The sequence below is a fragment of the Homo sapiens genome, chromosome 8 (genome assembly GCF_000001405.40).
Source record: "Homo sapiens chromosome 8, GRCh38.p14 Primary Assembly".
Lineage (NCBI taxonomy): Eukaryota > Metazoa > Chordata > Mammalia > Primates > Hominidae > Homo > Homo sapiens.
In genome coordinates this window covers 61,808,635-61,825,277 of record NC_000008.11, presented here as the reverse complement: position 1 = coordinate 61,825,277, position 16,643 = coordinate 61,808,635, and the positions used below count along the sequence as shown (strand labels likewise).

General features: G+C 40.7%; 2 long non-coding RNA genes across 6 annotated transcripts in view; one reads left to right on the top strand and one right to left on the bottom strand.

Annotated features, from left to right (window-relative positions):
- LINC02842 (long intergenic non-protein coding RNA 2842) overlaps positions 1 to 16,643 on the bottom strand; it is a 77,208-nt gene that overhangs the window by 36,977 nt on the left and 23,588 nt on the right. The gene's annotated exons all lie outside the window — the stretch shown is intronic.
- Positions 40 to 14,798, top strand: LOC105375871 (uncharacterized). 4 transcript variants are annotated; one of them, XR_928971.4, is made up of 4 exons: positions 40 to 268; positions 3,435 to 5,825; positions 6,940 to 6,986; positions 14,759 to 14,787. It is a non-coding gene; the product is annotated as an uncharacterized LOC105375871 (long non-coding RNA). The 4 variants fall into 4 exon arrangements; XR_928972.4 differs by lacking the exon at positions 6,940 to 6,986 and having other exon boundaries at positions 14,759 to 14,798; XR_928970.4 differs by lacking the exon at positions 14,759 to 14,787 and having other exon boundaries at positions 6,940 to 7,940.

The window sequence follows — 16,643 nt, the reverse complement described above, 5'->3', positions numbered from 1 at the left end:
CGCATAACAACCTATTACCTTTGTCATATTCTATTGGTTAGATACAAGTCACAGGTCCTACCCACATTGAAGAGGAGGGGAAAATAAGAGTGTAATGCCAGAAACAGGGATCATGTAGTATCACCTTAGGTTCAATATGTCACCATCACTCTCCTTACGTTCTCTTAGATTCCCAATTTTCTTATCAGTATTATCAGGGTATGACAGAATGATGGTCAGACATCTTTCATGAGTTCAGGCAGCACCATTTCTAATGAGCACTATTATGGTAAGTTTTACTTGTCAGCTTGATTAGGCTAAAACCTCAGTTATTCAACCTGGATCCCCATCTGGATGTTCTGTAAAGGCAATTAATAGACATGATGAAAGTTCATAATAAGTTGCCTTTCTGTAAGTGAGCTTGACTTAGAAAACCTGGGTAGCCTAATTCATTGTGTTAAAAGGCCTTAAGAGCAGTGCTGAGGGTTTCAGACAGAAGAAATTCTGCCTGTGGACAACAGGCTCAACTCATGCCCAGCAGTTCCAGTCTGCCTTTCCTGGTAGCTTTCCCTACAGATTTTAGAGGACATTGGTAATATGGCTCGGCTGTGTCCCCACCCAAATCTCATCTTGAATTGTAGTTCCAATAATACCCACATGTCATGGGAGTGACCAGGTGAAGGTAATTGAATTATGGGGGAGCTTTTCCCCATCCTGTTCTCGTGATAGTGAGTTCTCACAAGAGCTTATGGTTTTATAAGGGGCCTCCCCCTTTGCTTGGCTCTCATTCTTCTCTCTCCTGCCACCTTGTGAAGAAGATGTGTTTGCTTCCCCTTCTGCCATGATTGTAAGTTTCCTGAGGCCTCCCCAGTCCTGGGGAACTGTGAGTAAATTAAATCACTTTCATTGATAAATTACCCAATCTTGGGTATGTCCTTATAGCAGAGTGAGAATGGACTAATACAGTTGGCTTGCCCAGCCAGCCCCCACAATCATATAAGCCAATTACTCGTAATAAATATGTTAATATATATCTCCCACCATGTATATTTCTCTAGAGAACCCTAACTGATACAGATTTTGATACCGGAAGGGGTTCTAGAGCCAAATGAGTGAGTTTTCTGTATTGGTTCTGGGGTTTCTGAAATTGGTTCCCTAATATGGTTAGATTTAAAGACACCTATTGATCTATTCCAGTGGTAAAAAGGGCATTGGTAGTTCATGTCACAGTGTAACAATAGAGATATACAAAATATAGACACTGGATACTCTTAATCAAATACCTATGAAAGGTGAGATTTGGGTTATGGCGTATTTTCTACCTTAGAACATTTTAGTAAAACCAAAGAGTACAATGTGTTTGGCTGGTTATTCCTGATTGTACTAAAGAAAGTGGAGAAAGAATAGGATAAGCTCAGAGTTTCAAATTCTCAGTTCAATCTCTACATAAATAATCTGAAAGCTTCTTTGTCTGCCCTGAAAGAAACCTTTATCATCTGTAGCCCAGGGGCAAGAATTTCTGAAAACCAAATTCAGAGTCTAACCCTGTGAGTGGCTAAATTAAAATGCAAATTAGATTCTCAACATTGCAGGGTGTCTTTTGTTAAGCAGAGAGCTTTGACTGGGAAGGGAGGGGATCCTGAAAGTTTGAAGGGGGACATATGGGTAGATCACAATGAAGCTTAGTCTTCTTTGTCAAGAAGCAGCCTTTCTACACCCTGCCTGAGGAGATTAGCCTGAAGAAACTGTAATGGCTTTCCCTGAGGTAACTGCCGTGAAAGATACTGCTGATTCTCCTTAGGGCCCAAGGCCAGTACTCCTCTTTGCTTCTAGACCTATAATTAGACTCAACCACAGCAGGCCCCCAAGGGTGAGGTAGAAAATGTAAGCTGTGAGAAGGTGTGCCATATGAGAAAAGAACTGCACGATGTTTCCAGTTTATACAGACAGAAACCCGGGGAATTCATGTGGGAATGCATTGTAAGAATGTAAGATTGTAGTGGAAGAAATATAAAGTTGAATCTAGCCAAATTTCTTGATATGAACCACTAATCAAATATTTGGGTTAGCTTGAGTGGTTAGAAAAGGCTTGGTTTGGTTGGTGGGTTCACAGAAACATGAACCTGAAGGTGGCCTGTGCCAAATAATGCTGAATGTTAGAACTGACTTGTAACACTGTATCATAAGGTATCCAAAGGCTTAAGAAAAGTGGAATGTTCGAAAGATCATGTAAGAAAGATCTCCTCAACTGACCTGATAGGGTCCGTAAGACACAGTTTTCACCACAACTTTGAGAAATAGATTTTTGAAGGATGTCCCAGCCTCCTTGAAGAGCTCTCTCATCTCTCTTCAGGTCAGAAAGTACAGTGGGAACTGACATCATCAAAATGGGATCTCAGGCTGGCACAGTGGTTCACACATGTAATATCAGCACTTTGGGAGGCCAGGTGGGTGGATCACTTGAGGTCAGGAGTTTGAGACCAGCCTGGCCAACATGGTGAAACCCCGTCTCTACTAAAAATCCAAAAATTAGCCGGGCATGGTGGCAGGTGCCTATAATCCCCGCTCCTCGGGAGGCTGATGAAGGAGAATCGCTTGAACTCGGGAGGCGGAGGTTGCAGTGAGCCGAGATCGCACCACTTCACTCCAGCCTGGGCAACAGAGCAAGACTCCATCCCCATGCCGCAAAAAAAAAAAAAAAAAAAAAAAAAAAAAAAGGATCTCTAAGTGCAATGGGTATAACAATATCTCAGGGTGGCAGGGGCCAAGTGGTGGCTCTTCATTGCCTCAGACAAGGTGGGTGTGGCTACTGTAAAGGACAGCAGAGCCAAGGTAGTAGTAAAAAAATCTGATTCACCAAAACCCATGGGGTTTTCCAGTTTATCCTGATGTCCCTAGAAAAGGAATAGGGCTAGGCAAGTGGCTCACACTGTAATCCAAGCACTTTGGGAGGCCGAGGTGAGTGGATCACGTGAGGTCATGAGTTCGAGACCAGTCTGGCCAACATGGCGAAACCCCATCTCTACTAAAAATACAAAAATTAACCAGGCATAGTGGTGGGCACCTGTAATCCCAGCTACTTAGGTGGCTGAGGCAGGAGAATAGCTTGAATCCAGAAGGTGACAGTTGCAGTGAGCCAAGATAGCACCACTGCACTACAGCCTGCACCACAGAGTGAGACTTCATCTCACAAAAAAAAAAAAAGAAAAGAAAAGGAATAGATGGGCAGTCTACTAAATTAGTACTTGATCTATATTAGCAGAAGAGAGCTGTATCTAGTGAACAGAAGTCTAGCAGGAATCACCAAAACAGACAGACTGAGCTCCTTAACCCGTTTCCCAACTTGAGCTAATTTATAGACCCAGAACTCCTTGAATGAAAGGGAGGCTGGGTCCTTTTGAGGAGAATGCCTGGTACACGGTTAAAACTTTATATTGTTAATCTTTCTCTCTCAGCCTTCCACAAAGGAACTCATGGCCTGTTATCAAGGTGACTGTGCAATGAGGAAAAGAAAATGATGAAACTTTTGGAGAGTTACTGACTGAACACCAGCTGTGAATTGATACTAATTTCTGGAGACAAAACATGAGTTTGTCCACCAGTCAGTGTCAGAGCTTATGGAGGTCAGAAGATCAATGGAGTTTTAGCTTAGATCCATCTTATAGTGACCCAGTGGGTCGCCAAACCCATCCTGCAGTTACTTCTCCAGTTCCAGAATAAATAATTGGATAGAAATAGTCAGCAACTGGCAGAATTCCCATATTGGTTTACTGACCTCTAAAGCGAGAGCTATTATAGTAAGAAAATACCAAAAGGAAGCCAATAGAACTGCCTCTACTTTGAAAAATAGCAAATTAAAACCCATATCTTATTTCTGGATGGATTGCAAACATTAATGCCAACATCAGGATGCAGAGGTAACAATTCCCACCGCACCCTCACTCAACTTGCCTATTTGCCTGTGTGGAAAAGAGATGGATCTTGGAGAATAACAACAGATTATCCAGGAACAGAATCAAGTGAACTTAAATTGCAGTTGCTGTTTCAGATGTGATTTAATTGCTTGAGCAAATTAACACATCCCTTGGTACCTGGTGTGCAGCCATCGATTTGTCAAATGCTTTTTTCTTGATATCTGATAACATAGACAAGCAGAAGCAGTTTGTCTAGCTGGCAAGGCCACCGATAAACCTGCACTTGAACTCGCTTGAACTCGGGAGGCACTATCCTGCCTCTAGGGTATATCAACTCTCTAAACTTATATTTAGTCCATATAAATTAATTCAGCTAAAATTTAGTCCACAGGGACTTTGATTGCCTTTCCCTTCTACAAGATATCACACGGGCCTATTACAGACGAGTATTATGGCGATTGGACCTGCGAAGCAGGAAATAGCAACTGCTGTAGACGTAGTTGTAAGACAATTGCATGTCCAAGGATGAAAAATGAATCTAGAAAAATGCCACGGCCTTCTACTTCAGTGAAATTTCTGGGGGTCCAGTGGTGTACAGTAGGGCAAGATATCCCTTCTAAGATGAAGGATAAGTTGTTTCATCTGGCTTCTCCTACAACTGCAAAAGAAGCACAACACTTATAAGGCCTCTTTAAATTTTGGAGACAACATATTCTTTATTTGGGTATGGTACTCCAGCATTTACTGGGTGACTTGAAAAAACTGCTAGTTTTAACTGAGGTGTATAAAAAGAAAAGGCTCTGAAACAGGTCCAGTTTGCCGTGCAAACTGCTCTGCCACTTGGATCATATGATTCAGAAGATGCAATGGTGTTTGATGTGTCAGCAGCAGAAAGAGATATTGTTTGAAGACTTTTGCACACTTATGGGGAAATACAGTGGATGCCTTATATTTTGGAGCAAAGCCCTGAAATCCTCTGTGCGTTACTGCTCCCCTTTTGAGAAACAGTTTTTAGCTTGCTACCAAGCCTTAAACTGAACACTTAGCTATGGGCAACCAAGTAACCATATGACCAGAGCTTTCTCTCACATATTGGATGTTGTCTGTTCTACAAGCCATAAAGTTGGGAATGCACAAAAATATTGCATTATTGTATGTGGAAGTCCTATATATAAAATTAGGCTTAAGTAGGCCCTGGAGGCACAAGTTTAATCAGGAAGTGAGCCAAATATTCATGACCCCAATTCTTGCTGCACTACTTACTCTGTCTCCTAGTCTGCAGATATGGCCTTATAACCAGTTCCCTACAACTAGTTGACTGAGGAAGACAAAACTTGAGCTTGGTTTAGTGATGGTTCTGCACAATATGCAGACACTACCCAAAAGTGGATGGTTGAAGCACTATAGCCCATTGTGGACATTCCTGAAGACAGTGGAGAAGGAAAACCATCCCAGTGGGTGGAAATTTGAGTAGTGTACCCAGTTGTTTATTTACTCAGAAGGAGAAATGGCCAGAGGTTTAAGACTATATTAATTCATAGGCTATAGCCAATGGGTTGGCTGAAAGATCAGGAGCTTGGAAAAAACATTGTTGGAAAATTGCTGAGGTATGTGGATGGAGACCCTCTAAGTGGGCACCAAATCTGAAGATATCTATGTCTTATGTAAAGGCTCACCACGGGTTGCTTCACTAGAGGAGGGTTTTATTAATCAAGTGAATAGAATGATCCATCCCGTCAATACCAGTCAGCTTCATTTCCCAGCCATTCTTGTCATTACTCAATGGTGACAGTTACGCATGGGCTTACCCATGCATGGGCTCAGCACTATGTCTACTCACTAAGGCCAACCTTGCTATGGCCACTGTTGAGTGCCCAGTCTACCAGCAGAAGAGACCAACACTGAGTGCTTTATATGGACTCATTCGTTAAGGTAATCATCCAGGTAACCTAGTGGCAACTTAATTGCATTGGACCACTTCCACCATGATACAGGTGGTGGTTTTTTCTTAAAGAAATAGACACTTAGTCTGGATATGGATTTGCCTTTCCTGAATGCAATGTTTCTGCCAAAACTATGAGCTTACAGAATGATCATATTCCCTGCCATTCTGAAGCAGCTAGCTTGATAGAATGATGAAATAACATGGTGAAGACTCAGTTATAATAATAGTTGGGTGGAAATAAATTGAAAAACTGGGGCAGGGACTAGGACATCCTCCAGGATGCTGTATGTACTCTAAATTAATGTTCAATATATGCTGCTATTACTACCATAGTCATAATTCAAATAACCAAAATTGAAGGCAGGAAAATGGGAGTGGTTCCACTTACTATTAGCCCTAGTGTTTTACCAGCAATTTTTAAAAACATCTCTAAGACCTTCAGTTTTTCTAGTCTAGAGATTCTAGTTTTTAAGGAATAAATGGTTCTACCAGAAGACAAAACATGATCCCACTGAACTAGAAATTGAGACTGCCACACAAACAGTTTGGATTACTCATGCCTCTGAAAGAACAATAAAAGAATGAGGTTACTATATTTATTACAGTTTGGCCATGATAACCAAGGAAAAAATGGGCTTCTAGTACACAATGGAGGTAATGAAGAATATCTCTAGAACACAAAAGAGTCCTTGGGGAAACTCATAGTACTAGCATGTCTTGTAGTTAATGTCTATGGAAAAGTAACAGAAGTCAATTTAGGTAAGATTTCTAATGACCCAAACCCTTTAGGAATGAAGGTAGAATCACCCCCTCTGGCACAAAACCATGACCAGCTAAGATGCTTGTTGAGGGCAAAGGGAATATTGAATGGGTGTGGGAAAATATAGTATTATAGTGTAGTTATCAATATCAGCTAGGACCATATGATCAGTTGCAGAAATGAAGACTATAATAGTTATGAGTATTTTCCTTATTTTTTGTGAATGTTTGTTTTGAACTAAATATTTGTTTAGTTGTTGTGAACTAAATATATTTGCTTTCCTCTTATTCACTTGTTATCTAATATAAGACATAAGAATGATAACTAACTTTATATTACAGAAGAGTGAACATCACCCGAGGACTTTGCATTGTCTTCTGGGGAAAGGGTGAGCATGTTTTTGGTTGCATATGGGATAGTTTTGCCACAGACAGCAGAAGTATGTTCATGTTATTGTCTGTATTTGGAGATTGTGTATAAACTAAGGACATGTGTTTAAATGCCAAATTGACCCATAGTGAACTGTGATGAACAGTTTTTGTGTTAATCCCTAGTTATTCAATCAAACTTAATCTAGAGTGTTGCTGTCATTGAAGAATTTTGTAGATGTAGTAAAAGTCCGTAGTCAGTTGACTTTACGCAAGGAAACTTGACTTAGAAAACCTGGATAGATTGCTTCTCGGCCTTTTGGCTAAGATCAAGTGTAGAAAACCTGGGTGGGACTGATTAAATGTGTTTGAAAGGCCTTCAGGGCAGAGTTGAGGCTTTCCAGAAGGAGAAGAGATTCTGCCAGTGGGCAGCCATTCAATTCATGCCCAAGAGGTCCAGCCTGCCCTTCATTAGGGCTTGCCCTGCAGACTTCAGACTTGTCCAACCAACCCCACAATTGTGTAAGCCAGTCATTTGCAATAAATCTGTTTATATATCTCCCACTGGTTCTTTTTCTCTGGTTGAACACTAATTGATACAGGCACCATTCACACTGTGAATGGAAATATTGCGAGCTGAAAAGTGTACAAGATCTGGCCGTACTTTACTAGCTGGTTGATTTAATTTTGTTCAGTATTAAAATGAACCAAGTCTAAATATTTCAAATCCTCACATAAGGGCACACCACTTAGGGACAACAACCAATATCTAAACATTTCCAAAGTTTTGTTTCCTAAATAATTATTTTAACACCATGAATGTTTATTTGTGCAAGCATTATGCCCTCTAGTACCTCTTATTTTTGGTGATTTTTATTAAAACAGTACAGTGAAAGATGATACTTATCTGTATTATTTTCAGTTAAATAATTGTTTGAATTATATTATACTAAGAAAACTAGAGTAGAGAAAATAGAATTGGGAAAATAGAATTAATAGGTGAAATTTTTTTTTTAGATTCTATGTATTTTACAAAATAACTGACTGGAAAATTTTCTACCAATTTCCCTTCCCTCCAGCATTTTGCAAGACAGTCTGACTCATTCTATTTTCTATTTATTTTCTTCAGAGTAATTTCTCTTACATCTGTTTAACTTCTTGATATCGAAGCCTCTACCTTCCATGCTAATCTTCTGTCTTAAGTAAGACAACCTTCCATTGGGATTCAGTTCGTCAAGCGATTCCCATTACTGAGCCATGATTTTAACAACAGGTTCATAAATATCCGAAGATAATGTTGGTAAAGGTAAACCAGACAATTTTGAGTCTTGTAAATATGCTAAGAAGTACCAAGCCCTGTTAAGACATTTCCATTATAAAGGCTTCTCACTTCCCAATAAAATTACTCCCTCCCTTAGCCCAAAGACCCTCTCAAATAGCTGTGTTTGGTTCCTAAACTTAGAATGGTGGAGCTGAAGAAGGTTTTTCCTTCTCTATACTTTTTTACTGATCTTCTTGGATTTATTAATATAAATCTTTTCATAGCATCCTTTCTCTGAGGACTTTAATACTGATTTCTTATTTTGCAAAGCCATTACAAATTTGCTTTCTTCATACACCTGTTGGTTAGAGTTTCTGTGAGGATAAGTAGAGTGCACCTGGTGATGCTTTATTACTCCAATTCCCTTTAGATTTCATTTGGCATTGTTTTCTTTTAACATCACCCACACACAGGGTGAGTGAGCCAAGAATAATGTACACTTCCCTTTTATGTCCTAAAACCACACTTCCATATCATCTTTAGCATTTCTTATTGAATAGTGGTATTTGACCACAGCTATTAAGCCTTACTTCTTTTTATTTTCAGTGGGGTATTAACTAATGATTAACCTTTCCTATTTATTATTCAAAATGTTCACATTAAGCACAACCTGCTTAGTTCCACAGCCCAATAAATCAGTACCTGAACAACTTTTTATCTTTGTCTTATCATTCTGTTTTACCCTTTTCAATATTTAAATGCTTATTATAACTTGGGAATGCTGTGACAACATATAAGAAAGGTGCCCAAAAATACAGTGTTGTCATAGAGAAGAGGAACCCAGGCTTCCACAGATCTTCCATTTATGGAGTTGGAGATGATCTGAAGAGAGCTAATTTGGCCTTAAAAGCTGGCCCTGGTGCAGACAAGTTCAAGTCCCTAGGTGTCCGAAGGGCCCCAGGATTCCCAGTTCCATTTCTAGAGTTTGTCAGCTTTAGGACTTCCAACCAAGTAGCTACCAGTAGACAGGGACCCAGGTGAACAGGTGTTATTGCTCTAGATTCTAGGTATCCAAGTCTGGTTGGAGCATAGAAACAGGATGAAGTGAGGGCCACTGAAGGGCTGAACAAGGAACTGAGGTGGTAAATGAGTACACGAGAGCTCAGGATGAGCCTCTAAACAAAACCAGCCAGGGGCCTGTGCAGTGCCACTTCTCTAAATGAGGATCATTGGGAGAATGGGGTAGGGGCTGAGATTGGGCCTACATAAGTGAACGCTGATGCACCCACTTATGTGACTGTTGCAGAGAGAACAAGCCCATGTTCTGGAAAATACTACTCCTCAATCAGGCTTTAGATCTCAACTTAATTTGGAGGTAAGGATTTTGAAGGAGGAAGGAGTGAGGTACAAGGACAGGAAAATGGGATAAAAGAGATGGGTCTCAGGATTAGCTAAGAAATGGAGCCAGGCCCGAGATCATAACTGAAGACAAGTCAGAGAAACTGAGGAAGCAGAGGGAGGGGCAACAAAGCAGAAGTGACAATGCTCATCTTTACAACTCACCTTCATCTTCGATTCCAGCTTCCCAAAAGGATCACTAGGGGATTTAACATGTGATGTAAATTTAACCTCTTTGCTCACTTTTCTATCCCTGCCTTTTTGAATTCTTTGAAAGCATTCTTCTCTTTATAGTCACGCTGCTGAACCCTGGAGAGTCTGGTCATTTGGCATCTCACACCCCACTGAGCACTGGCTCTCTGAAAGATACCACATCAGGGCCTATGAGCAGGGCAGGAGAGGACAAAATATATAATATTGTTGTTCAAAGAGCTAAAATCAATTTACACCAATAAAATGTGCACACAAATAACAGTACGGATCAGCTTGTAAAATTTGCCATGTCCAAATTTAACTGATGAATTTGGTTACATGTGTGCCACTAAGAGTCACACCACTGTCTCAGGAAGAGTGGTCCCAGAGAATAGCAATCCTTCCCATCCAGACTGGACATGGAAAGGACATTGGTAATGCATGGCAATCTTAGTACTCTGGGCTGCAGAAACAACTATATCCATTGTCAGGGTCATAGCTGGTACAAAAGAAGGAAAATCTCTTCATTAATCAAATTACAATAGCTTTATTAGTTTTCTAGGGCTGCCACAACAAATTATCACAAACTAAGTGGCTTAAAATGACAGAAATTGACTCTCTCATAGTTCTGCAGGCCAAAACTCAAAAATCAGATGTCAGCAGGTTTGGTTCATTCTGGAAGCTCTAAGGGAGGATCTCCTCCATACTCTCCTAGCTTCTTCTGGTAGTTGTTGGTGAGCCTTTGAATAGCGTGACTTATAGACTCCTCACTCCAATCTCTGCCCCTGACTTCACATGGCCTCTCCTGTGTGTCTTTCTTTCTGCTCCTCTTCTTATAATGATACATGCCATTGGATTTACGGTCCACCCTGAATCCAAGATAATCTCATCTTGAGATTCTTAACCTAATTACATCTTCAAAGATCCTATTTCCAAATAAGATCACATTCATAGACACAGCAGGTTAGGGCTTAGATATATCTTCCTAGAGACCACCACTCAACCCACTACAATAGCCAAGCCTGCTTACCTCCACCATATTTTTACCTCATAGTAGAGAGGAAAGAAACCTAAAGCTTTAGAACAGAGGGGATTTGTTTTCTAAAATCTAAGCATCGGGAGGGAAATTATTGTTGAACCCAAGAGTATCGGGACCTTTGCAACTAAGTTTTGGCCACTGACAGCTACACTCTGGGAGCCTGCCAGATCTTAGCAGCATCTGTTACCTGTTTTAGAAAGCCCTGGAACGTGTGATATGTGATTGTTGTTTAAGAGATGCTATTGAAGTGGGACTGGCTAGCATAAAAGATGAGGTTTTAATTGAAGGTGCCTAACTGACTGGGGAGTGTTTATTATGTGCAGCCCCCACACTTGACGGGCCAGTGAAACAAGCATCAAAGATAACTTCGGGGTCTCTAAGAACTTACAAAGGGAGTAATTGGGGGAGGGAGGATTAAGCTAAGGGGCAGAATGAAAAATGTGCTCAGTGGAGAAGGGAATTTGGGAGAGTGGACAGGAGGAAAGAGATTTTCAATGAAGGATGCCCTCAGAATGAAATGAGTAGAAGATATAATGTGTTAGACATTCATACACTGGGACACTCAGACCTATGCACTGAGTGCTATTAGGTGTACTTTGCAAAGACATCAAGAAGAAGAAAGAAAGAGAAAGAAAGAAAGAAAGAAAGAAAGAAAGAAAGAAAGAAAGAAAGAAAGAAAGAAAGAAAGGAAGGAAGGAAGGAAGGAAGGAAGGAAGGAAGGAAGGAAGGAAGAGAAAGAAAGAAAGGAAGGAAGAAAGGAAGAAAGAAAAAGAAAGAAAGAAAGAAAGAAAGAGAGAGAGAAAGAAAGAAAGAAAAAGAAGGAAGGAAGGAAGGAAGGAAGGAAGGAAGGAAGGAAAGGAGGGAGGGAGGGAAGGAAGGAGGGAAAGAGGAAGGAAAGGAGGGAAGGAGGGAAGAAGGGAAGGAGGGAGGAAGGAAGGGTTAGTTCATTCTTTTTTTTGAGACGGAGTTTCACTCTTGTCGCCCAGGCTGGAGTGCAGTGGCACATCTCAGCTCACTGCAACCTCCTCCTCCCAGATTCAAGCAATTCTCCTGCCTCAGCCTCCGGAGTAGCTGGGATTACAGGCGCCCACTGCCACACCCAGCTAATTTTTTGTATGTTTAGTAGAGACTGGGTTTCGCCATGTTGGGCAGGCTGGTCTCGAACTCCTGACCTCAGGTGAGCCACCTGCCTCGGCCTCCCAAAGTGCTGGAATTACAGGCTTGAGCCACTGTGCCCGGCCAGTTCATTCTTCTCTGAGGGAAGCTCAGGTTTAAGACCAGAAATGAGACCAGAATTTATGATACTTGCTATTCCCCCTTGTCATATATTTACTTATATTAAAGACAGCACTGGCAGGGCACAATGGCTCACGCCTGTAATCCCAGCACTTTGAGGTTGCAGTGAGCCGAGATTGTGACACTGCACCCCAGCCTGGGGGACAGAGTGAGATCTGTCTCAAAAATTTAAAAACTAAAATAAAATAAAGAAAGCACTGAGGTGAACATTACCACTTGATGTGTTTTAGGTTCCTAAAGATTAACTATGGAAGGTGCAATGAAGAAAAATTCTAAGTAGCACTTTGTTCTGATTTCTGCCTCCCTGTAAGCTGGAGTTCTTCTTTACTGCAGCTCAGTGGCCATAGGCCCCCAGGGATTTAGAGAGAAGAGCATGACCCTCAAGACTCAGAGGTCATGGTAAAGGAACTGCTGAGGGACTAGAGTAAAAGAAAAGCTCCTCACTTGTTATCATATTGAGGGGGGATGATGAGTATGGTTGGAGAATGTGCTAAAAAATGTGTTCTTGGCAGGCATGTACACACACACACACATGCACACACACACACACACACACATCTTTTTCCTTCAGTTTAGAATTATGAGCTTGCCATTAGGATAAAAAATAAAGACAGAGGTGTGTCCCAAAGCAAAAATATGGAGAGTTTTTTCTTCCCTATCAGCAGCATCAGAAAGAGGGTGGAAGGCTGGGTGCAGTGGCTCACACCTGTAATTTCAAAACGTGGGAGGCCGAGGTGGGAGGATTGCTTGAGCCCAGGAGTTCAAAACCAGCCTGGGTAATATAGTGAGACTTTATCTCTACAACAAAATAAACAAAATTAGCCAGGCATGGTGGCCTGCTAATTCGGGAGGCTGAAGTGGGAGGATTGCTTGAGCTAGGGAGGTAGAGGTTGGAGTGAGCCAAAATCACACCGCTGCACTCCAGCCTGGGTGACAAAGTGAAACCCTGTCTCAAAAAAAAAAAAAGGGAAAGAAAGAAAAAAGAAAGAGGAACAAATGTGTGCCCTGTTCGTAGCCCCAGGATCTTCTCCACCCCAGGACTTTTATCCCCACCTCTAAACCCTGAGAAGAATCTTCATTTTCCTAGACAAAGAAGCATTCTATTTGTCTAGGTCTGGAAAGATCTTTAGACTAGAGGTTTAAAAAAAAGATGATGGATACTTTAAAGGGCAGCGTAAACAATAAAAACTATTAAAGGTCAATTGATCTGAGCTGTCTGGCAGGGAGAGCTTACAGACTCTCCACAAAGGGTGAGCTGGGCTGCAGTCCACAAAATGCCGGGTCAGAGCAAGCTGGAGATGACTGACAGGGAGAACTCTCCTGGGCTCAGAGTGTCTCAACGCCAGGAACCTCATTAGGACATCTTCCCTCCACACTGTGACTTGACACTTCTTTATCAAATGATTCTTCAGGTAAAGACCCTGGAATTTGAAAATGATTGACTACACTGGGCAACAGATATAATTGGAAATTCAAGAATATTTCCTTTATTAATCCTCTCTTTTAGAGGAGTGCAGTCTTCTTAAGGATCCATATGCTTGGAGTGTCATGTTAGACAAAACAGAAAACAACTTAGTGATTGCTCTCTAGAAATGTATGAACTAATAAAATTGAATGAAGAAAAAATATACATACTTTTTAAAGGGAAAAAGATGCTTTTATTTTTTTATTCAGTCTGGAAGTTATTTTCATATAAGGTAAGAAGTACATTTTATCTGCAGAGAAACTCTTTTCATCTGAACTTGACCCATGTTAACCTCATTGGTTATAGGGGGTCACAGGAATATGAAACCTCCCCATATGTTCTTTGGAATAGTTTCAACTTTAGTTTCATTGTTTAAAAGTTGTTCTTCTTTGTGCTTTTACTTCCTTTTAATATTCTTCCTGCTGCTATTTCCAAGTAGTTAATTTAACTGGCAGTGGATTAACTCACCTTGGCTAGCAATGGAACAATGAAAAATTTAACACAGTGTTTATTTATTCCTGTATGTGTGTGTGTGGTTGTACATATGGCACACTGGAATAAGTAAGGAAGCCGAACTTATTAAAGTGCAATTCATAAAATACATCCTTATAAGTGTGTCACAACCTGGATACTAAAATCCAGCAAGAATTTTGTTAATTCTACCTTGTTATAATTTATTTTTATTTGATTTTCAAGAGTTTTCTGAGACTGTAGGAAGTCATCATTGCTATTCTTGTACTTATAATTTTTATTATTAAGTAATATGAAAAAAGAGGAAGGGAAGAGAAAGGAACTGGGACAGTAAGCATAAGAAAAGGTGCATTGCCTATTTAGGCTAAAAGAATGCAGATTACTAATTATCATTCATTTGATTGTGAATGTTATATTTAAACTTTCCTCAAATGATTATTTGTATTGTGTGATATTATCAGGAAAATCTTTGGAATAAGTATTAAAAGTATGCTGTTTAAAACCTTAATTTTTAAGCTTTTAGGAAAGATGTTTCATTGTCAACAAATAGTGAATGTAGGTTAAAGCAATAATAATGATCATTCAAAAGACTCCATCAAAAACAGATATCTAAATATCTATGGTGCATAATACCAAGGCTTGTTTTTGAACTTTTCTTTTTTTTTGACAGGGAGTTTCACTTTTGTCACCCAGGCTGGGGAGCAATGGCGCGACCTCGGCTCACTGCAACCTCTGCCTCCCAGGTTCAAGCTATTCTCCTGCCTCAGCCTCCGGAGTAGCTGAGATTACAGGCGCACGCCACCACGCCCAGCTAATTTTTGTGTGTAGAGATGGGGTTTCACCATGTTGGCCAAATTGGTCTCAAACTCCGGACCTCAGATGATGACGCCCTCTTCGGCCTCTCAAAGTGCTGGGATTACAGGCGTGAGCCACCGCGCCGGCCTTTTTTGAATCTTTACGCAGCGTAAGACAGCAGCAGCTTAAGTTTGAGCGCTAATGGAAAACACATCTATTCTTTGCTGACCCCTAGTGTCCACAGCAAGTAAGCGTGGAATCTAAAAATCCCAAAGGAAAAACATGGCAGTTTGAGAAATGACATTTTGTTTCATTCAAAACAAGAAAGAAAGAAAAAATGCGTTCCAAAATAAAATAATTCACCTCCAGTAAATTATATAGTTAGCACAGAAACATACATAAAGAATGAAACAGATATTTTCAAATTCAGCTTCTGCTTTTGATAGAGGGTAAATCTGAGGAAGACTTTTCAGGGCTATGGAGCACAATCTGAATTGTTTTGTGGGAACCACTTCTTTCTCTCTGGCTACACTGGCCTCAAATCTGTTCTACAAGCATGTGAAGATAATCTTTGGGTTTTCAAATCCTTCCAGCACTACCCGACCACCACTCTGGGCAGCATCACCGCCATCACCAGGACCAACAGCCTTGTCGACATGACCACCCGCTGGGAGCAAGAAACAGGTGGTCTCCCCTCCATGAGGCTGTGAGGACAAATAAATGTTACCTAAGCAAAGTGAAAGAGACAGAGACAGGCACAGAATTCTTTCTTTCTTAGACCAATCAAAATCACACATTTTTGCTTCCCTTATGGTGAACTGAAGCAATCACTCAGTAATTGTCTGCCCTAACTACAGTTTACAAGGCTGTCTTTTTTTTTTTTTTTTTTTTTAAGACAGTGTCTCATTCTGTAGCCCAGGTTAGAGGAAGCTGAGGTTTAAGACAGCTTAAACCTCTACCCTGGGCAACAACTATGATCACAGTGGTGTTAACATAACTCACTGCAGCTTCAAATCCCTGGGCTTGAGCTATCCCCCTGCATCAGCCTTCCATGTAGCTGGGACTGCATGCACCTGTCACCACATCCGGCTTATTATTATTATTATTATTATTTTTTTTTAGAGACACAGTCTCTATGTTGCCCGGGCTGATCTCAAACTCCTAGCTTCAAGCCATCCTCCTCCCTCTGCCTCCCAAATGCTAGGATTACAGATGCGAGCCACTGCACCTGGCCTAAGGCTTTCCTTTTTGAGAGAGGGATCTTTACAATTCAGCCAATTAAGTTTTCTTCACCATTTTCTCTGCTTGTGGATAATCTCTTTTTGCAATTGGAAGCCCTCTGAGGGTTTACATGGAACATCACACCACGTGAAATTATCAACCACTAGGCTATATTTTTTCCATGGTTTCAAAAATAGAGAAAGAAAATGAAGCCTATTGTTCTTGCATGTTTGTTTGTTTAGGGTTTTTGTTTATTTTTTTCCCATAAGATAAGTAGCATCTATGATTTTCAGTCTCTTTGCTTCTTTGTACTTCATACCATCCTCCATTTAATTGCCACAATCTGAATTCCCATTTATTTATTTTTAAGATGGAGTTTTGCTCTTGCTGCCCAGGCTGGAGTGCAATGGTGATATCTGCACTCACTGCAACCTCTGCCTCCCAAGTTCAAGCGATTCTCTTGTCTCAGCCTCCTGAGTAGTTGGGATTACAGGCAAGCACCACCATGCCCGGCTAATTTTTTGTATTTTTAATAAAGA